The 21,820-nt window shown below is 46.2% G+C and overlaps 1 protein-coding gene across 12 annotated transcripts in view; it reads left to right on the top strand.

The window, feature by feature from the left end:
• HERC2 (HECT and RLD domain containing E3 ubiquitin protein ligase 2) overlaps positions 1 to 21,820 on the top strand; it is a 211,140-nt gene that overhangs the window by 103,420 nt on the left and 85,900 nt on the right. For 10 of the 12 annotated variants that reach the window (XM_006720727.4, XM_006720726.4, NM_004667.6 and 7 more), the window contains 13 exons: positions 89 to 271; positions 2,958 to 3,139; positions 3,958 to 4,105; positions 4,488 to 4,684; positions 4,788 to 5,018; positions 6,177 to 6,315; positions 7,615 to 7,758; positions 12,378 to 12,520; positions 16,146 to 16,413; positions 16,511 to 16,647; positions 17,206 to 17,304; positions 19,991 to 20,159; positions 20,257 to 20,382. In XM_006720727.4, the coding sequence (XP_006720790.1) occupies positions 89 to 271; positions 2,958 to 3,139; positions 3,958 to 4,105; positions 4,488 to 4,684; positions 4,788 to 5,018; positions 6,177 to 6,315; positions 7,615 to 7,758; positions 12,378 to 12,520; positions 16,146 to 16,413; positions 16,511 to 16,647; positions 17,206 to 17,304; positions 19,991 to 20,159; positions 20,257 to 20,382 (2,166 nt within the window). The other 2 variants (XM_017022697.2, XM_017022698.2) reach the window with 2 other exon arrangements.

The raw sequence follows: 21,820 nt of genomic DNA, 5'->3' as shown, positions 1-21,820 counted from the left end.
TGTAATATTAAAGCTGTTGAATTATATGCAGGACTATCTTCCAGTTTTACTTGGGAATATAATTTGTAATTTTGATTATTTTTTTTAGAAGCCGAACAAACTGAAAGGAACATTCACCCCACTGCAATGATGTTTACCAGCACTATTAACTTACTGCAGACTCTTTGTCTGTCTGCTGGAGTTCATGCTGAGATCATGCAGAGCGAAGCCACCAAGACTTTATGCGGACTGCTGCGAATGTTAGTGGAAAGCGGAACGACGGACAAGACATGTATGGAATGAGAGATCGAGGGCCCAGGGAGTCAGCGCTGGGGGCCGCACGCTTGTGTCTGGGTGTTCATGTGGGTGGGTGTGGATGTGTGTGGATTCCTTTCCTGTGGCTGCTGTAACAAAGTATACAAACTTGGGGGCTTACACAGTAGAAATTCTCACGGTTCTGGCGGCTGGAAGGCTGAGATCAAGGGTGGTTCCTTCTGGGGCTGTGAGGGGGAAGCTGCTTGAGGGCTCTGCCCCAGCTTCTGGAGTTTACTGGTCTCTTTAGCGTTCCTCGGCTTGTAGAGGTGTCACCCCTATCTCTGCCGTCATCTTCACATGGCATTCTCCCTGTGTGTGAGTCGCCTCCAAATCTCCCCTTTTCATAAGGACATCATTCAACCTCATCAAACTGATTACAGCTGCAGCGACCCTATTTCCAAACAAGGTCACCTGCCGAGGTACGATAGGGGTTAGGGCTTCAACATACGAATTTTGCAATTCTGAATTCAACCCATAACACTGGCCTCAAACAACAAATTTGTTCTCTCAGAGTTCTGGAGACCAGAAGTCCCAAATCCAGGTGCGGGCAGGGCCATGCTTCTTCCACAGGCTCTAGGGGAAGGTCCTTCCTTACTTTGTCCAGCTTCTGGGAGCTCCAGGCTTCCTTGGTGTTGGGACGCATTGTGCCAGTCTCTGCCTGCGTCTTCACATGGCCCCTGCCCCTGTGTTCTGCATGTCCTTTTCTGTCTCTGAAAGGACTCTTTGAGTTTCTTTGACTCTAATCCAACATGATGTCACCTAAATTCTTACCTTAATGACGTCTACAGAGACCTCATTAAATAAGATCATATTCTGAGGTTCCGAATGTATGTGAAGTTGGGGGACAGGCACAGTTTAATCCATAAAGTGTTTGTGTGGAGAGTAAGTATGAGAAATGTGAGCTGAGGGAGTGGGGTGAGTGTGCATGTGACTGCGAGTGAGCACATGTGAGTGTGGGTGGGTATGTGGGCGTCCTCCAGTGTGTGTGAGAGCATGCGTGTATTAGTGGTGTGCTGGAGCGTCCGCACATATTGATGAGAGTGAGTGTGTTAGCGGTCGATGGGCAAGTGGCTGAGCGTTTGTGTTGCAAGTGTGATGGTGTGTTGGTAGCATGTGGTTGTGTGGGTGTGTGTCCATGAGAGCATGTAAGTGGGCAGGTGACTACATTCAGGTGAAGTGGGAGTGAAAGCGTCAGTGCATTGAGCCAGTGTGTGTGTGAGGGTGAGCATGAGGGAGGCATGAGTGAGTGTGAGGGGATTACTGGGTGTGCGAATGAGACACCCAGTGTAAGTGTAAGTCAGTGTAAGTCAGTGAGGGTTGGTGAGTGTGAGGAAGTATGAGTGGGTGGCAGCACAAGTGTGTAAGTGTGCGATTGAGTGCGAGCATTTGTGTAAATGTGTATGAGTGCCTTGTGTCAGTGTGAGCACGAGTGATGTTATTGTGAATGCGTGTGAGTGAATGTGAGCATTTTGCTTGTGTCAGTGAATGGGAGGTTATAACAGTATAGGTGTGAGTGCAAAGTGAGAAAGTGTGTGGGTAAAGGTGTGAGTGGGTGAGTAATCGGTCGTTACTAGTGTTGAGGAGTGTGAGTGCATATGTGAGTTTTTGTATGCATTGGGAGGGGTAAGTGTATGTGAGAGTGCATGGGAGTGTGTGTCAGCTTGCATCTGTTTGTGCATACGTGTGACTGGGATTGTGTGTGTGTTAGTGATTGCGACAGTGGTGTGAGTGCACCTGAAAGTGTGAGGGTGGGTGTATGAGTGCCCATGAGTGTGTCTGAATAACTTAGTATCAGTGTGAGTGTGAGGATGCATATGAGGGTGTGAGAGTGAGTGTGTGTGTGTGAGCGCATGTGAGTGTGCTGAAGGAAGGCAGGTGTCCTCATAAGCTTGGATAGCTGAGGGCAGGGTGGGGGAGGTGGGAGGGAGAGCAGGTCCTGTGGGGCTGTGGGCGGGGTCCCTCAGGGGGCCCAGCCTCCAAGCCTCAGCCTCCATTCAGGGAGTAGTGGAGTCCTGGAGCCAGGCGGAGCAGAGGTGGGCCCACTGGTGCTAGAATCCAGTGGTGTAAACCTAGTGAAAAACTCATTTTGTTAATGCAGATGTATTAAACTTGGATTGGAAACTGTCTCTACTAAAAATACAAAAAAAAAAAATATTTAAGTGGTGCAGATTAAATATAAGCAAGATTGTGGAGATATTTAAAACACGAAATTAAAAATATAATAGATGCACTGTTGCAAAGTACTGTTATTTGAATTATAGATGGTTTTCCTATTGCCTAGAAACAATGCATAGCTAAAATTCCCTAACTACTTTTACTACACATACTTAGAAGGTTTTAAAAATGCCCGTAGTCCCAGCTATTTGGCAGGGCAAGGCAGGAGAATCACTTGAACCCAGGAGTTTTAGACCAGCCTGGGAAACACAGTGAGAGCCCTTCTCTAAAAAAAAAAAGAAAAATTGAGAAATGTTTCTTGAACTAACTTAAAAGCTGCCTTCCACTTCTCACTTTGAATTAGTTTGAATTAATTTACAAACTGCAATATATTTGTAAAGGAGCTTATTTTAGAAAAATAAAATAAGTTGATAAAAAAATAAGGATATATCTTTAGGGATTTGTCTTTAGGGACTTGTTACCAAGCATGTCTATTTTCCCTCCTGCAGCTTCTCCAAACAGGCTGGTGTACAGGGAGCAACACCGGAGCTGGTGCACGCTGGGGTTTGTGCGGAGCATCGCTCTCACGCCGCAGGTATGCGGCGCCCTCAGCTCCCCGCAGTGGATCACGCTGCTCATGAAGGTCGTGGAAGGGCACGCACCCTTCACTGCCACCTCGCTGCAGAGGCAGGTAATGTGCTGCCAGGCAAAACCAGTTCCCTGAGAGAGGCCTCCATGTACTGAAGTTCCCTGCCTTCAGAGTCAGGGGCCTTTATTCAGTAACGAGTGCAGAAAGGGTCTAGAAGTGACAGGGTAGATTTTCTGGAGGCAAGGGGCAGAGGTCCTTGATAATTGGTAAGTTGCTAACCTTCAGTTTACCTGCTTTTCTCTTAAGTGGTAAATCCTGCAACTACTCACTCATCTGCTTCACAGAATTTGTAGTGTAATTGTCTTAAGAATTAAACTAAAAATAATTCTTTTTAAATTAAACACATGCATCTGTAATGTTGCTTTTTTTAAAGTTCCTGACAATCCTAATCACTAATCAACTTGAGTGTAATTACCTGGCTGTAAAATAATGAATCTCAAAATTTTCACTTGATTACTTGCGTTATGAGAACAGAAAATAAAGAGAGGCCGGGCGCAGTGGCTCATGCCTGTAATCCCAGCACTTTGGGAGGCCGAGGCAGGTGGATAATGAGGTCAGGAGTTTGAGACCAGCCTGGCCAACATAGTGAAATTCTGTCTCTACCAAAAATCCAAAAAAAAATGAGCCGGGCTTGGTGGTGGGTGCCTGTAATCCCTGCTACTCAGGAAGCTGAAGCAAGGAGAATCGTTTGAACCTGGGAGGTGGGAGTTTGTAGTGAGCCGAGACCGTGCCACTGCACTCCAGCCCGGGTGACAGTGTGAGACTCTGTCTCAAAAAAATAAAAAATAAAAAAATAACAATCTGTAGTTTCCTCATCAGATTTTTTTTAATGCTTGTCGTTATAAATTTTCTTTTATCAGATCTTAGCTGTGCATTTGTTGCAAGCAGTCCTTCCATCATGGGACAAGACCGAAAGGGCGAGGGACATGAAATGCCTCGTGGAGAAGCTGTTTGACTTCTTGGGAAGCTTGCTCACTACCTGCTCCTCTGACGTGCCATTACTCAGAGGTGGGTGGCCGTCTACCTTCCCTGTGCCCTGGTGAAGAGCGGCGCAGTGCCGTCACTCAGGTGGGTGGCCGTTTCCCTTCCCTGTGCCCTGGTGAAGAGCGGCGCAGTGCCGTCACTCAGAGGTGGGTGGCCGTCTCCCTTCCCTGTGCCCTGGTGAAGAGCGGTGTACTGCCGTCACTCAGAGGTGCGTGGCCGTCTCCCTTCCCTGTGCCCTGGTGAAGAGCGGCGCAGTGCCGTCACTCAGAGGTGCATGGCCGTCTCCCTTCCCTGTGCCCTGGTGAAGAGCGGCGCAGTGCCGTCACTTAGAGGTGGGTAGCCGTCTCCTTTCCCTGTGCCCTGGTGAAGAGCGGTGCAGCAGCTTCTCCCCTGGTTTCCTCCTCAGAGTCCACGCTGAGGCGGCGCAGGGTGCGCCCGCAGGCCTCGCTGACTGCCACCCACAGCAGCACACTGGCGGAGGAGGTGGTGGCACTGCTGCGCACGCTGCACTCCCTGACTCAGTGGAATGGGCTCATCAACAAGTACATCAACTCCCAGCTCCGCTCCATCACCCACAGCTTTGTGGGAAGGCCTTCCGAAGGGGTGGGTTTGTGTTCTCAGAATTAATTTAGTTCAACGGTGAACCTGTAGGGATTGGGCAGCTCCGTGAGTGTCTCTGTCGAGCTCGCTGTTTGGTCTGCACTAGGCCCAGTTAGAGGACTACTTCCCCGACTCCGAGAACCCTGAAGTGGGGGGCCTCATGGCAGTCCTGGCTGTGATTGGAGGCATCGATGGTCGCCTGCGCCTGGGCGGTCAAGTTATGCACGATGAGTTTGGAGAAGGCACTGTGACTCGCATCACCCCAAAGGGCAAAATCACCGTGCAGTTCTCTGACATGCGGACGTGTCGCGTTTGCCCATTGAATCAGCTGAAACCAGTAGGTGAACTTGTGCTTAGTTACTGCATGATAAGGGAAATTGACTTTACACTAGAACCGAGCACCAGCATCAGCACTTGAAAGAACTTGATTCTGGTACTTGAAGTTTGCCTTCCAGGAAGCTGTGTGAGCTTGTGCTTCTGTGGTAAGCAGGGCCTGTCTCACAGGGCACTTAAAGCAGTGGTTCGTGTGTATTTCAGCCTCAGAGACACGAAGAGGGCTTTAGCAACCTAGAAGGTACCGTGCATCTATGAGGTAGTTCTAATTATTTTAAAATGTGAATTTATGAAGTTTACTTTTTATTCAACAACTCAAGTTTTAAAAAAACAAACATGTTTAAACACCTTTAAAAAAACAGCCTTTCTTCATGTAGAAAATGCTTAGTAGTTTTGAGTGACGTGACTTAATGTAGCAGCTACTGTCATCTTAATCTGTGAATCAAGGATGCACAGGGAGAAGGAGCCATTTACATTATTTTGATGTAGCCCAAGTGCAATCTTACTATATATTCTTTTTCTTTTTTATTTTGAGATGGAGTCTTGCTCTTGTCACCCAGGCTGGAGTGCAATGGCACAATGTTGTCGGCCCTCTGCAACCTTTGCCTCCCGGGTTCAAGCGATTCTCCTGCCTCAGCCTCCTGAGTGTCTGGGATTACGGTGTGTGCCACCACGCCTGGCTAATTTTGTATTTTTAGTAGAGATGGGGTTTCACTATGTTGGCCGGGCTGGTCTCAAACTCCTGACCTCAGGTGATCCGCCCGCCTCGGCCTCCCAAAGTGCTGGGATTACAGGCGTGAGCCACCGTGCCTGGCCTGACTATATTTTCTATAAAGTACTCTTTTTTATTATTATAGGAATATATACACGTTGTAGAAAACTTGAAGTATATAGAAAATATCTGAGAAGATAGTAACCACCACACTGATGTAATTATTGTTGACAGGTTTGTAAAGAAAAATTAATATAGATTATACTTATTATATGTGTAAATCTCTATCCTGCCTTTAATGTCATTTTAAAAAATGATTATTCTCAGCTATAAAAGGCTTACGGGTATGTGTGGCATTTCAGGATTAAGCCCATGGTTTTGATGACTTTCAGAACGTTTCATTTGTTAGTCGTATTGGCCACACTCTGACAGCTTCTGTGTCCTCTCCAGCTCCCTGCCGTGGCCTTTAATGTGAACAACCTGCCCTTCACAGAGCCCATGCTGTCTGTCTGGGCTCAGTTGGTGAACCTCGCTGGAAGCAAGTTAGAAAAGCACAAAATAAAGAAATCGACTAAACAGGCCTTTGCAGGTCAGTACATGGTGCTTCTTGATGAAATAGCTGCCGTCTTAAACTCGTGTCGTTTGTACAGTGTTCTTTTATGAGTGAATTCACGGACGTACTAAAGTCCTGGGGTTCACGTGGGCTCACCATTTGTTGAGTTGCGGTTGGGAATGTAACCCTGTGTTCGTGGTAATGAGTATTTTCGAGTCAGCTTTTGTCGCCATGTTCGGAGCCACACTTGAAGAACCCCATGGCTCACACCCTCTTCTCCGTGTCACCCTTTATCCCGGAAGAGAAGTCTGTGTTCACCTCTTCCCTCCTCCTCTCCATCCCAGGGCCCTGTGGCCCAGTCACCCTGTTGGACCATGGCTCACAGCCTGTTCTCTGCCGGATCCAGGGGCCTCTGTCCCGGAAGCGCCTGGCTTGCCTGTGACATTCAGGATGGCTAAGACTGTGACTGTAGCCTGGCTTGGCTTTGCCTTCCTTCGGTTGTAGAATGCGGCTCTCCTGAGTTTGTTTCCATGTTTCTAGGGAGCTCTTCTCTCTGCTCATTCTTTATGTCCTGGAAGTCTGTGTGGCTTCACCCGTAACTATGGCGTATTCTGCCCACTCTTCTTGAGTTTTCTCCCCTCTTGCTCCCACAGACCTACGATTGCTGCTTCAGCATTTATGATGTAAGCACTTTCAACTCTGGATCTCCCATTCACATGTCTGGTTGGAGGTGCAGTGCATGCAAATCACCACATGTCCGAAATTCAGCTGGCTTTCTCTAGTAGCTGCCGTTTCCCATCGTGGTGAATAAACCTGTCTGCCAGTTAGTTGAGCCAGTGTCCGAGCGGCACCTGCGGCCCTCCTTCCTTCCCACCCCATGCTCTCTGTGCTGCTTCTGCGGCCTCTGCTATCAGATAAGCCTTGGGCATTGCTGCCATCTTCATCAGTTAAAGAGCTAGTGGGGCTGACAGATTCTCTCAGAGGAGTCTTAGAAGAAGAGTGAAAGCGGCTGAAACTTCAGCAACTTGGGGAACATTTGATCATATTAATAGTAGCTAACATGGTTCTAACCGTGTTAAACCCATTGAATCCTGCGTCCTATCAAGTTAGGTGCCTGGAGAGCAGGGAAGGAAGACCCAGGAGGCAGAAGATGCTTACCCAGAAGCACCGAGTGTAACTCTGGGAAAGGCAAGCCCTTCGTCACGGACAGTGTGTGCGGTCGGCAGATTCCTGAAGGGCAGAGCGTTACTCGTCGCCATGTGGCGGAGGCTTGCTGCTGGCGAGGAGGGAGTCTGAGCAGGGCACGCCCTTCTCACTGAGTCTTTCCTTCCGCAGGACAAGTGGACCTGGACCTGCTGCGGTGCCAGCAGTTGAAGCTATACATCCTGAAAGCAGGTCGGGCGCTGCTCTCCCACCAGGATAAACTGCGGCAGATCCTGTCTCAGCCAGCTGTTCAGGAGACTGGAACTGTTCACACAGGTGTCTTTTTAAAAAGTTCTTAAATCTTTATAAGAAGGGCAGTAGAAAGTAGACAAAGGAAGTGAATAATCAGTTCATAAAAATGGACATAGGTGGCTTATAAATGTACAAGACAGACATGTGGCCTGCCCAGCAACCACCAACTGTGAATAAAATTGTCATCGTCATCTTATAAGACAAGACTGAGGGCATCTGGTGGGTGGGGAGGGAAAAAGGTATTTTCATGCCTTCCCATTTAAAGTGTGCTGCATGGGTCAGCAAGATTGGTGGCACGCAGGTATGTGTTAGAAATGCAGACTCCCAGGCCGCACCCCAGACCAAAGAAATAGAGCCTGTATTGTAACAAGTAGAACCTAAGCTGGTTCTTCAAATGCGCGTAAAGCCGCACTCCATGAACAGGCTGCTGCTGGGAATTTCAGTTGGTGTAGCCATCTAATGGGCGTCTGAGGAAATGAGTTGGTCTTTGACATGCATAGATGTATGTATGTATTTATATACTTTGGCCCAGCAAGTCATTCCGTGGGACTTTATCACACGAAAAGGCATGTAAAGATAATGTATTCACCAGCCGGGCACAATGGCTCATGCCTGTAATCCCTGCACTTTGGGAGGCCGAGGCGGGCGGCGGATCACGAGGTCAGGAGCTAGAGACCATCCTGGCTAACATGGTGAAACCCCATTTCTACTAAAAATACAAAACATTAGCTGGGCACGGTGGCGGACGCCTGTAGTTCTAGCTACTTGGGAGGCTGACGCAGGAGAATGGCATGAATCCGGGAGGCGGAGCTTACAGTGAGCCGAGATGGCGCCACTGCACTCCAGCCTGGACGACAGAGCAAGACTCTGTCTCAAAAAATAAATAAATAAAAAAAAATAGTGGGGCATAGTGGTGGCCGCCTGTAATCCCAGCTACTTGGAAGGCTGAGGCAGGAGAATCACTTGAACCGGGGGGCGGAGGTTGCAGTGTGTGCGGATTGCAGGGTGCAGATTGTGCCACTGCACTCCAGCCTGGGCGACAGAGTGAGACTTTGTCTCAAAAAAAAAAAAAAAAAAAAAAAAAAGATAATGTATTCAACAGTGTCGTTATGGCCTCCTTTTTGGTATTGTTTTTGTGTTGAAAAACTGTAGACACCAAAATACCTATTCTTATGTTGTGTATCCATACAGTGTGATACCATGGTGCCATTCAAAATGATGGTACTTATATAGTCTTCCCTGAATATCCATGGGGATGAGTTCCAAGACCCCCAGTTATACCAGAATTCACTAATGCTTAAGGCCCTTCTATAAAATGGTGTAGTATTTGCATATAACCTATGTACATCCTCCCAAATACTTTAAAAATATAAATGATATATAGGCCTGGCGCGGTGGCTCATGCCTGTAATCCCAGCACTTTGGGAGGCTAAGGCGGGCAGATCACGAGGTCAGGAGATCGAGACCATCCTGGCTAACACGGTGAAACTCCATCTCTACTAAAAATACAAAAAATTAGCTGGGCGTGGTGGCAGGTGCCTGTAGTCCCAGCTACTTGGGAGGCTGAGGCAGGAGAATGGTGTGAACTCGGGAGGCAGAGCTTGCAGTGAGGCGAGATCGTGTCACTGCACTCCAGCCTGGGTGACAGAGCGAGACTCTGTCTCAAAAAAAATAAATAAATAAAAATAAAATAAATGATATGTAAATAGTTGTTATTGCTATTCTTTTTAAAATTATATTTTAAAAAATTGTTTTATTCTGAATATTTTTGATGTGTGGTTTGTTGAATCTTTGGATGCAGAACCCATGGATATGGAGGGCTAGCTGTATATGTTTATTGCCGTGGAAATATGAAAATGATAAGTAAACAGAAAAGCACATTGCTATGTATATCCGTTTATAGATATGCCATAGTTATCTGTTTAGTGAAATAGTGACCCAGTAATCTTTGGTGGAATTTGGCTGTCTTTATTTCTTTATATTTCTCTATATTTAGTTTTCTAGAATGAGCTTGTGTCACTTTTAATAGAAAAAAACATTTTTTGATCTCCTGCTATTGAAAGACATTATGCTAAGTCTTTTCGGGGAAAGTCCTTTTCTGTGATCATTGCTCTCTAGGGTTTGGATGAGGAGAGGAAGTGAATGCAGATGGCTCTCTTTGTCCTCTGGGGTCAGGAGGCGGTGAGGCATGTGAGTGGTTCCACAGGCATCTGGAGCCAGTGGCAGCTGAGCACTGGACGGGCAGCCTTTGAAGGCTGTGGCAGACAGATGCCAGCAGACAAGCACTTTGCTGGTGGTGGACCAGGAGGAGAGGAGTGAAAGTGGCGAGTCTTTGGAAGCGTGTTGAGCAGCTCTGCATTGCTTGGAGCTCAGGGTTTGTCGATGAGTGGTGGGGCTGAAGCTGGATGGGTGGGTGACATCCTGTTACAGAGTACCTGGGAGACCAGGGTGAAACTTGAGGCCCACTTGGAAAGCTGTGGTAGGGGCCACATGGTAAGCATTGACCTTCGGGTGATACACCTGCTAGGAAGGTATAGGAGTATCTGAAACAGGAGATGACAGAGATGGAGAATTGCTCCTGCGTCAGGTGATGAGGGGGAAGGCATGAAAAGGGAAAGAAGGTTCTGGTGGAAGGAAGGTGCCATCCACTGTGATGGTGTAGTCTTGTAGATGATAACTTTATGGGGAACCAGCAAAAAGTGGAAGGTGACTCTGCTGTTTCAAGCTTGAATTGAGGGGAGAATAGTGAGTGGTGCGTTTGAAAAAAATATGCAAGTCCAGTAGAATGTGGAGTATGTGGGTTTGTTTCTTAATCTTAAGAGGAGAGGATGTTATGAAATTAATTTTAAACCTGCTGAGGATGAAAGAAATCAATTGAAAGTATAGAATCAATTAATAGTAGAGGTTATAGGGAACATGAAGATTTCCCAGTTGTAGAGATTGGAAGATTGGAGCCTGGGAATTGGATTGGCTGTTCTGTTCTGCACTCAGCCCAATGAGCAGTGACAGCAGACCTGAATCAGGATGATCAAGTCTGTGCTTTGGGCCGAGCAGGGACTCCTAACAGAGCTAGATTGACAAAACTGCCGTGCACCTGTTTTTGTAAATTTTTATGGGAACACAGACACACCACTTGTTTACACATCGTCTCTGGATGCTTTTGCTCTGCAATGGCAGAGCTGAGTAGTTGGGACAGAGACTGTACAGCCCATCAGCCTAAACTATTTACTCTCTGGCCCTTTAAGAGAAAGATTTCCAGCTCCTGGTCTAGTTAGTTGAAATTGTCACTGAAGAAAACCAGCACATGCAAATGCTGTGAGTACCTGGATGAGTACCTAGATGTGTGAAGTGGGCTTGAGGGCAGTGGATCTCCCTGGGGCTGTGTCAAACAGAGTCCTAAAGGCTGCACCTAAAGCTACTCATAACAGACAAAAAGCCATCACCCTGAGCACATGACACATTTGGAATTGGGGTCACTTAATGATCTCAACAAAGCTTAGCTGGAAAAGCTACAGCTAGAAATATGCACGTGGGATGTGTCTGTGTCAGGGGTTACTGAAGCCGTGAGTGAACACGAAAGAGAGTGTGTAGGTCAGGCATGGTGGCTTATGCCTGTAATCCCAACACTTTGGGATGCCGAGGCGGGTGGATCACCTGAGGTCAGGAGTTCGAGACCAGCCTGGCCAACATGGTGAAACCCCCATCTATACTAAAAATACAAAAATTAGCCGGGCGTGGTGGCGTGTGCCTGTAGTCCCAGCTACAGGGAAGGCTGATGCAGGAGAATCGCTTGAGCCAGGAGGCAGAGGTTGCAGTTTGCCAAGATTGTGCCACTGCACTCCAGCCTGGGCAACAGAGTGAGACTCCATCTCAAGAAAAGAGAAAGAATCAGACCAAGTGCAGAAATCTGGGAAGGAGCATTTGCTGGCTCTAAGAGACAGATGCACTAATGAAGGACAGAGACCAAAAGCAGGCAGTGAAAGTGGTTTAGAGTCTAGTTTTTTTTTTTTTGTTTTGAGATGGAGTCTCGCTCTGTCACCAGGCTGGAGTATGGTGGTGTGATATTGGCTCGCTGCAACCTCCAACTCCCTGGTTCAAGCAATTCTCCTGCCTCAGCCTTGCGAGTAGCTGGGATTACAGGCACGCACCACCACGCCCAGTTAATTTTTTTTTTTTTTTTTTTTTTTTTTTTTGAGACCGAGTCTTGGTCTGTCGCCCAGGCTGGAGTGCAGTGGCACAATCTCAGCTCACTGCAAGCTCCGCCTCCCAGGTTCATGCCATTCTCCTGTGTCAGCCTCCCAAGTAGCTGGGACTACAGGCGCCCGCCACCATGCCCAGCTAATGTTTTGTATTTTTAGTAGAGATGGGGTTTCACCGTGTTACCCAGGATGGTCTTGATATCCTGACCTTGTGATCCACCCGCCTTGGCCTCCCGAAGTGCAGGGATTACACGCGTGAGCCACCGCACCCAACCTAGAGTCTAGTTTTTGTTCGATGTCTGAACCTTGAAGATTTTGGTTTTCTATCACATAATGAGGCAGAAGTCATACCTGATTTAACATGCTTAATGCATTTTCTTTAATAGTAAAGTGGTGTTCGCAGTTGAAAATAGAATCTTACACATATTTTGTTTTTAAATTCAGATGATGGAGCAGTGGTATCACCTGACCTTGGGGACATGTCTCCTGAAGGGCCGCAGCCCCCCATGATCCTCTTGCAGCAGCTGCTGGCCTCGGCCACCCAGCCGTCTCCTGTGAAGGCCATATTTGATAAACAGGAACTTGAGGTACAGCCATGCAGCCTTGACAGTTTTTAATCCACAGCACTAAATTTTGAACACTTTTTTTCTAGATGTATATTTTCTTAAGGATCTATTCTGAATGTTAAATGATAGTACGCAAATAATTCTAATGATTCATTGGGGTTTAACCATGTTTGTGCATAGTCTGCAGAACATTATAATACTAAAGACTGAGAGGGTTGAAGTTTAACCTTATTTTGGGTTTGTGTAAATTGTGAAAAAATATTAACTAGATGCAGCATGGGTTAAATGCTCACATCTTCATGAAGGGATCTTTTTCCAGGAAGTAGAATTATTCAAAGAGGCTCGTCAGGACTCTGGCAGCCGTTTGTTTCATTCACTCAGGAGCCTCTTGGGGGTGCTCTGGTGCCGCCAGCCTCTCCGCTCTCTCCATGCTGTGGAGCAGGTGAGGGCAGCAGCGAGGCACAGGGTCAGGGCTACGGGACGTTCGCATAGAGGAGGCGACGTGATTGAGTGTAAGAGGGATGGGAGCTTTCATGGCTGGCAACATAGAGGATTAGAGATGTTCATTCCAAAATCTTTCTTGCTGTGTAATACATTAAAAATCTGGACAAAATATCAGAGACAAAAATAAAACTATCAGTACTCAGTTTGGCAATCAGAAATTACCCTAACAGAAACCCTCAGATAGCAGGGCCCTTCTGGGAGCAAGGGTCCAGATGAGGCAGCCACTGCCTTGGACAGGTGGGAGGCCTCCCCCAGTCCTAGAACGAGCTGGAAAGATGGTGGGGGTGCAAAGGGAGAAAGCAAGAAACGGGTGTGGGCAGGAAGGGAGGAGGTTGGCCATGAGCTCTTCTGAACTCCAGCTTCTTCTCAGGTCTGGGAACCTCCAAGGTGAAGGTTCATTTTAAAGGGCCTGGTTGTGTTTCCAGTCTCCCTGGCAGAGATCAAAAGAAGACGCTGAGCAACTTGAGAGCAGTCATGCTGGGAGATGCCGAGTGTGAACAACTGGAAGGCCGTGTAGAGTTGTCCTTCAGGAACTGAGAAGGACTGTTGTACAAAAAGAGACCTTCCGCTGTTTTGTCTCCATGGATTCTGATGGAGAGTTGTTGTTCTCTTCTTTTTCATGAAATGTCTTTTTTCTGTGGTTGCTTTTCGTATTTTCTATTATCTTTGGTTTTCTGCAGTTTCCCTAAGCTGGGCTCATGTATACAATGGTGGCACACCCCGCCCACCCCACCGTCCTCCTTGAAATTTGCTGAAGCTGCTTGCATCTTTGGCTTGATTTTTGTTCCCCTACCAAATTTGGAAACTTTTGACTATTGTTTTTTCCCCCTGCCTTGCTCTTTTTGTTCTTTTCTGGAAATACTATTATACATCTGTTACACTGTTAGTGAGTTTCCTTTTACGATTTTAATAGAAAGTCTTCTCCTTGTTAGTAGCTTGGTTAGTTTGTCTTGATCTGTTTGAAAGGTCAAGATGCTTTGCTTTGTTGGGCCTAATCTGTTGTTATATCCATCCAAGACATACTTTATTTTATATTTCTCACATCTCTTATTTCCATTTGGCTCTCATTTAATAGTTTTATATCTCTTCTGACAGTTCCTTTCTTCATCCTTTAAGTCTATCTTTTTTTTTTTTTTTTTTGACGGAGTCTCGCTCTGTCTCCAGGCTGGAGTGCAGTGGCGTGATCTCAGCTCACTGCAACCTCTGACTCTTGGGTTCAAGTGATTCTCCTGCCTCAGCCTCCCGAGTAGCTAGGACTACAGGTGCCTGCCACCACGCCTGGCTAATTTTTGTATATTTAGTAGAGATGGGGTTTTACCATGTTGGCCAGGCTGGTCTCGAACTCCTGACCTCATGATCCGCCCTCCTCGGGCTCCCAAAGTGCTGGGATTACAGGTGTGAGCCACCGTGCCTGGCCAAATCTATCTTTTGCTGTACATTTTAAAACATATTTCTGATAGTTATGTTGAATTTCTTGTTTGCTAATTCTAACATCTGCCCACCTGTTGGTCTGCTGCTCTTTGCAGTTTTTATTCCTTGATTATAGTCAGTTATTGGTTGTTGTCCTTCACATATGTGAGAATTCTTATTTCATTCTGGATTCTTTGGACGTTACATTGTATTGGCTCTGGGTTCTGCCGCCTCTGGAGAAAGGGGAGTTTTCTTCTCACAGGCAGTTCAGTACCTGGCAGTCCTCCTTGATCCTGAGGTGGCTTGGTGCCAGGCTTTCTAATGATTTTGTATTTGCCCTTAGCCCTGGTTGTGGATCCTTAATTCTCAAGGATTTAGAATCTCTTCTGGGCGTCACTGGAAGCCTTGACATTCTCCTCCCCACCTCTAGTTGGTTGAGCTTGAGCCTCAGATGCTGTCCTGGCCCTGGGCAGCTGGGGAGCCCCTGCAGCCTTCCAGCGGTCCCTTTGTGCCGAGCGCAGGCTCTTCAGTGGTGCTTCAGTTTAGATTCAGCTGTAGATTTGCGGGTAGTCCGTCCGCATATTTCGTGGTTTTCCCTCTGTGGTTTCTTTCTCAGGCGGGCTTTCCCTCGCATTCTGGTTACTCTGCCAGGCCGGGACCCCAGCCCCTGCAGTGCAGGAAGGTGCGCCGTCTGTGGTTAAATGCGCGTCTTGCATGCAGGCTTCTCGGGGTCAGGGGTTGTACTCGTTTTATTGCTGATTGCGTCAGCTGTTCTCCAGTGCCCTCAAGCAGTTTTAAAAAATATTTTATCCAGAGTTCATGATTATTATCAGCCAAAGGTTAGTCCAGTGCATCCTAACTCTCAATTATCAGAACCAGAACTCTTGGCTCAATCTGGCTCTGAATTTTAAACTTTTAGAATGAAACCTGTCACTTCCAAGTTACCCAGACTTCGCTGCAAAACCCTAGGCTTTGATACTTCCTGAGCACCGGGGGGCTCCACAGTGTCCTCGGTTTCTTCCTGATTCCTTCCTCACATGCTCCGTTTAACAAAATAGCAAGTCAGTGCTATGAGAGCAGCTGGGGAGGAGGACCAGGGAGTTACAGACAGATCAGGGAAGTGCTATTTGTGCTGTAGGTGGGGAGTTCCCAGCTGCAGAGACTGGCAGTTTAGATGTTCACTGATTCATTGCAGTGTGTTTCCCAACTAATACTCTTTTATTTCTCTTACTTTTTAATACCTTGTTTAACCTCACTGTGGTTATTTAACCCTTGAATAGTTGAGGGTTGTTTTAATGGTACATGAGAGTCCTGTGTCATTTCTGGCCTGTCTAAAACACAGGTGCCTGTGGCCGCCACCACAGTGCCTGGTTAAGGCAGGGGGAATGCCTTTCTCCCTGCTCCTTCAAGCCCCTGTGACTGTTTGCTTGGGGCTGTAATGAAGTTTTCCTTAATGGACATTGATACTTGGCTAATTTAGTAGGCTCTCTGTCTGCTGAAACAGGCAAGTTATTTTACCCCCACGTATTTTCTCTGCATTAAACCGTGAAACTTGGCTTTGTCATTTTCTAACATGTTTTAGGAACTCATTGAAAAACACACATGTGAATGCGGGCTTTCTAGACTTGCATACTGCAGTTCACAGTAGAAGGCCATCACCCCTGTGTTCCTAGACTGTGTAAGCTAGCTGAGGGCACTTCCCAAATCTCCCAGGACCCTCTTGTCTGCCCAGGCTGCTGCACTGGCCGTTTGCCAGTGCTTGGCTGTGGAGTCCACTCACCCTTCGAGCCCAGGATTTGAAGACTGCAGCTCCAGTGAGGCCACCACGCCTGTCGCCGTGCAGCACATCCGCCCTGCCAGAGTGAAGAGGCGCAAGCAGTCGCCCGTTCCCGCTCTGCCGATCGTGGTGCAGCTCATGGAGATGGGATTTTCCAGAAGGAACATCGAGTTTGCCCTGAAGTCTCTCACTGGTGCTTCCGGGAATGCATCCAGCTTGCCTGGTACTTCGTTTTCCTGGCCTCTGCTTGTGTATGTGTGGGTTCCCGCTTCAGGGCTGTTGACTCACAGTGGCTGCTGTGCTGTGTGTGCCTCTCTTAGGTGTGGAAGCCTTGGTCGGGTGGCTGCTGGACCACTCCGACATACAGGTCACGGAGCTCTCAGATGCAGACACGGTGTCCGACGAGTATTCTGACGAGGAGGTGGTGGAGGACGTGGATGATGCCGCCTACTCCATGGTCAGTGCCTCCCATGTGACCGCCCGCACCTGGGCCGCTGTCCGTCTAGCGCTCTAACAGTCTTACACCTTGGCTTTCTCTGTCCCTTGAAAGAATTAACTATATCTACTGTGGACTGTTCCATAAAACCAACCTATGGTATTGCCGGGCACAGAACAAAGCTGTGTTTCACTACTGAAGGGATGATTGGGTTTCTATATCATAATTACTTTTAGCTTCAGAACAGACCCTTGTTCAAACATCTCATGATCTTCGGTAGCCATTAGAAGATATTTTATTAAAATACCATGTTTTGACACATCAGTTTCTGACCTGAGTAAATTATTCGTAGGATTAATTTGGAAGTGCCTTGGAAATTTTGTATACTTGTAGCTTTTGAGATTCATTCTGCCTACTATGCTACTGCTATTAGTCTTTTTTAAATGAAGATTTTTATAGAGAAAATAAAGGATTTCATCCTCTACTTTTTAATATTATAGATTTCACAGACTTATTTCTTTTTGAGTAGGTTTATCATGTTCTCCTGTTTTTTTGTTTGAATGTATTTATTTCTTGCAGTCTACTGGTGCTGTTGTGACGGAGAGCCAGACGTACAAAAAACGAGCTGATTTCTTGAGTAATGATGATTATGCTGTATATGTGAGAGAGAATATTCAGGTGAGTAATTGTCTTAAGCTGGAGCCTCGATCCGTTTTTCATTCAGCAAATATTTGAGTATGTCCTATATGCCAAACATCAGTGGACAGAGGCCCCTGCCCTCAGGGAGCCTGCCTTCTGGTGCTGGAAGACATACCTGACCAGTGAGCTCATGGTACGCTAGAAGGTGCTGTGTACCCTGGAATGAGAAAGAACAGACTACAGTAAAGGGGTAGGAGTGAGGGCACATTACAGGGATGTGGGGCTGCAATGAGAAGGTGACATGGGTGCAAAGCCTACAGGGTGTGAAGGGTGGCTGAGCAGGATGGGCACCCAGACAGAGGCTGCTGTGGCTGCCCCGGTGTAGCCAGAGGACAGAGGGGCAGATGGGCTCAGGGGCAGCCGGAGAGCACAAGTGGCCTGTCCACGGTGGACATGGCGCAGGGATGGCTGTTTTCTACTAGCCCCACTTGTGACACTTCCTACATACCTTTCCTTGTTTTTCTTATGTAATTCTCATTGCCATCAAACTTTAAAAATCTAATTATGTTTTATATAGTCCTTTATCTACTTTAAATCATTTCTTGTCCTAATTCTCTTGTTTTAGTATATTTTAGAGAAAATCCCCCAAATCATCTCATTTCACCTGTATATATGTCAGTGAGTATCACTAATAAAGAATCTTAACATAATGACATTTCTGTTTACCAGCATTACCTAACAAAATAAATAATAATTCCTTAATATCATCTCATATCTAACGCTTGCTTGTAGTTTTCCAGTTTTCTCAGAAATGGCTTTAATGGTTAGTTTTTGAACTTGGATACAACCAAGATTGTATGCCTTATCTACATTTGGTTGATGGATCTTTGACGTCTATTCCAAGCTAGAGTGGTTCCCCCTTGTCTTAGCTCAGTTGGCTATAACACAGTACCATAGACTGGCAGCTTCAACAACAGACATTTATTTCTCATGGTTCTGGAGGCTGGAAATCCAAGATCAAGGTACCAGCTTGGCTGGTTTCTGGTGATGGCCCTCTTCCTGGCTTGTAGGTGGCTACCTTTTTTTTTTGTTTGTTTTTTGAGGCAGAGTCTCGCTCTGTCACCCAGGCTGGAGTGCAGTGGCGTGATCTCAGCTCACTACAAGCTCCGCCTCCCGGGTTCATGCCATTCTCCTGCCTCAGCCTCCCGAGTAGCTGGGATTACAGACATGCACCACATGCCTGGTTAATTTTATATTTTTAGTAGAGACAGTGTTTCTTCATTTTTGTCAGGCTGGTCTCGAGCTCCTGACCTCAGGTGATCCGCCTGCCTTGGCCTCCCAAAGTGCTGGGATTATAGGCGTGAGCCACCATGCCCATCCTGGAGTCTCTTCTTATAAAGACCCTAGTCCTGTTGTGTCAGAGGCCCACTCTTATGACCTGATTTTACCTTAATGACTTCCTTAGAGGCCCCATCTCCTAATACTGCCACATTAGGAGTTGGGACTTCATGAATTTTGGTGGGGGGGACACAAACATTCATGATAATACTCCTTCCCCCGTCCTCTCCTTTCATGCTGTTTATTTGTAGCTGAAACCATGTCCTCCAAATGTCTTACAGTCTGCATTTGGAGGTGGCTTCCTTGTGGCTAACATCTTCCTCTCTCCCTGTTTCTCCAATACAATAGGAGTTAGGGTTGGAGGGTGATTGGACCAGGCTGAATCTCAGGCAGGAAGCTTCATAGGCATGTACTCCCTCCGGCCCCATCTCAACAGGCAAGCAGGGTTGGGTGGGTTAGGTCTTGTCAGCCTGCTCCTTCCTTGATGACATTCTGTATTAATTATCCATCTCATAGCTCCAGTAGGCATTAGCGTCATCATCTAGACCTATCATTAGGGGCTGCACCATAGTGATTTTCTAACTTCATCTTCTCTGAGTTCATTAGCTGGAATTCTCTTCTGGGAAAAAAAGCTTTGTTATTAATCTTGGTTGCTCTTGATAATACAGGGAGACTTTATCAGTTTTCAGAATGATGCATTGGTGTTCTGATATGTATAAAGATGACCAGGAAGCTTTGTTTTCCTTATTATCATGATGACCAATCCATTGGCTTTTAGGGTGTGATGTTTCCACTGTTATGTTTTTGATGATCAGGGAATCCTTTTGAGTGAACCCAGTAATCTTTGAAAGCTCCCTTCCTTTATGACACAAGTTGATCCAGGCTCTTCCTGTATATTTCCTGCCTGAGACACAAAGCCAGACAGTGTTCTAAAGAGTTTCTCTTCCCTTTATCATTAAATAATACTTAGAATGCACTCTGGGTGCTAGATGAAATTCTTTTTTTTTTTTGAGATGGGGTCTCACTTTGTCACTCAGGCTGGAGTGCAGTTGTGTGATCTTGGCTCATTGTAACCTCCACCTTCCAGGCTCAAGCAATCCTCTCAACTCAGTCTCCCGAGTAGCTGGGACCACAGGCATGCACCGCCACGTCTGGCTAATTTTTGTATTTTTGGTAGAGGTGGGTTTCGCCATGTTGCCCAGGTTTGTCTCAAACACCTGAGCTCAAGTGATCCTCCCACCTCAGCCTCCCAAAGTGCTAGGATTACAGACGTGAGCCACCATGCCCAGTCAGAATTCTTTATTAAGAGTAGAGTAATACTACTTATCATGGCTCATTTCACCTGTGTACATGATGGACTGGATCTCCAATTTCATTTTAATTCTAGGTGGGAATGATGGTTAGATGCTGCCGAGCGTATGAAGAAGTGTGCGAAGGTGATGTTGGCAAAGTCATCAAGCTGGACAGAGATGGATTGCATGATCTCAATGTGCAGTGTGACTGGCAGCAGAAAGGGGGCACCTACTGGGTTAGGTACATTCATGTGGAACTTATAGGTGAGCACATTCTTTGTTCAGTGCTTTTGTTTTTTCTTAGAGACAAAATTCCCTTAAATGAATATTGATTATAATGATTTGTTATTGACATCTGTAGGCTATCCTCCACCAAGTTCTTCTTCTCACATCAAGATTGGTGATAAAGTGCGGGTCAAAGCCTCTGTCACCACACCAAAATACAAATGGGGATCTGTGACTCATCAGAGTGTGGGGGTTGTGAAAGGTAATATTATCTGGGTAATAAAATTCCTGATGTTAACTTTTCATTAACGCATGTGTACTTAGTATTTCTTTTTGTTCAAGCACACAAAACAGAAAACAAGTGTTGAAGAAAGATAGAGTGTTCCTTTGCTTGTCAGTGCCTTCTGCCAAAGGCCACAGAGGAACTCACCTGCAGTGAAACAATTAGATTTATTAATATTAACTCATTGCAGTACAGGAGAACACACACCTTGGGGAATGGGTGTCTCCATCAGAGGGAGTGAGCGAGGACTAATGAAGTTTATGTTGGGTATTTGGGGGAGGGGTCGAGAAAGCAGGGGTAATCCTAAAACAGGATGTCTTAATAAATTTACCTAGCAGGCAGAAAGAATGGAGCCATGCTAACGTCATGATTGGTAAGGAAGTAGTCATTCATATCACCAGGATAGGGGACTGTGTGGTTGTTTGTGGTTTGGATTAGACTCAACTTTAATCACACATGGTTAAGTAGGGGTTTTGGTTGTGCCTTGATTCATCAGTCACAGAGTGGCCTTACCTGATGTTCGTGTTCTGTAAACTTGTCCTGTCAGTTATTCTGTGAAATGTTCTAACATTGACATTAACAGGCCAGCTCCTGACTGTCAGGACTGCTTTTTCTTTCTCCTCCCCTGACCAGGCTGGAGTGCAGTGGCGCCATCTTGACTCACTGCAACCTCCGCCCCCAGGTTTAAGGAATTCTCCAGTCTCAGCCTCCAGAGTAGCTGGGATTACAGGTGCCCACCACCATGCCTGGATAATTTTTGTATTTTTAGTAGAGATGGGGTTTCACCATGTTGGCCAGGCTGGTCTCGAACTCCTTACCTATTGATCCGCCTGCCTCAGCCTCCCAAAGTGTTGGGATTACAGGCGTGAGCCACCATGCCTGGCTCTTTTTCATGCTGTATAAAAATTTAGGACTGAATTTAAGAAATGGAAATGTGCTAATGATGGGAATTAGGAACTGGGAACAATTCTCAGATTATATTTAATATGATACTATTGAGATTCCAAATCAAATCCGTGGCACACTTTGAAAGGTATACTATGTCCGTTTTAACAGTTGCATGAGAAATAAGTATGTGTATAGTTTTATAAACTCTTGATGCCATAAAGAGATTATTTGTTTGTTTGAACCTTGTGGAAGGCTCTCTTTTCATCAGATCGCTTAGAAAATGGCCACAGTTGGTGGTTCCCCAGTGGTGAGAGGTTCCTAGAGCTTCTCATGTTACATAAAAACAAATGGATTATTTAATATTTTACTTTAAACATTTTTCTTTGCTTAAGAGATTGTTAAAATATTTGCAAATCAAAACAAGACAAATTTTAAAAATAAGAATTTGGTTTCTTTGTTTTGAGTGACACGTTGCTCTTATCAAAGGACGAAAGAAGTCTTCATGTTATTAATGTGGTTTTTATTCCCT

Source organism: Homo sapiens, chromosome 15 (genome assembly GCF_000001405.40).
Source record: "Homo sapiens chromosome 15, GRCh38.p14 Primary Assembly".
Classification (NCBI taxonomy): Eukaryota; Metazoa; Chordata; class Mammalia; order Primates; family Hominidae; genus Homo; species Homo sapiens.
The sequence above is the reverse complement of the archived record's forward strand: the minus strand, read 5'-3'. Positions and strand labels throughout refer to the sequence as shown.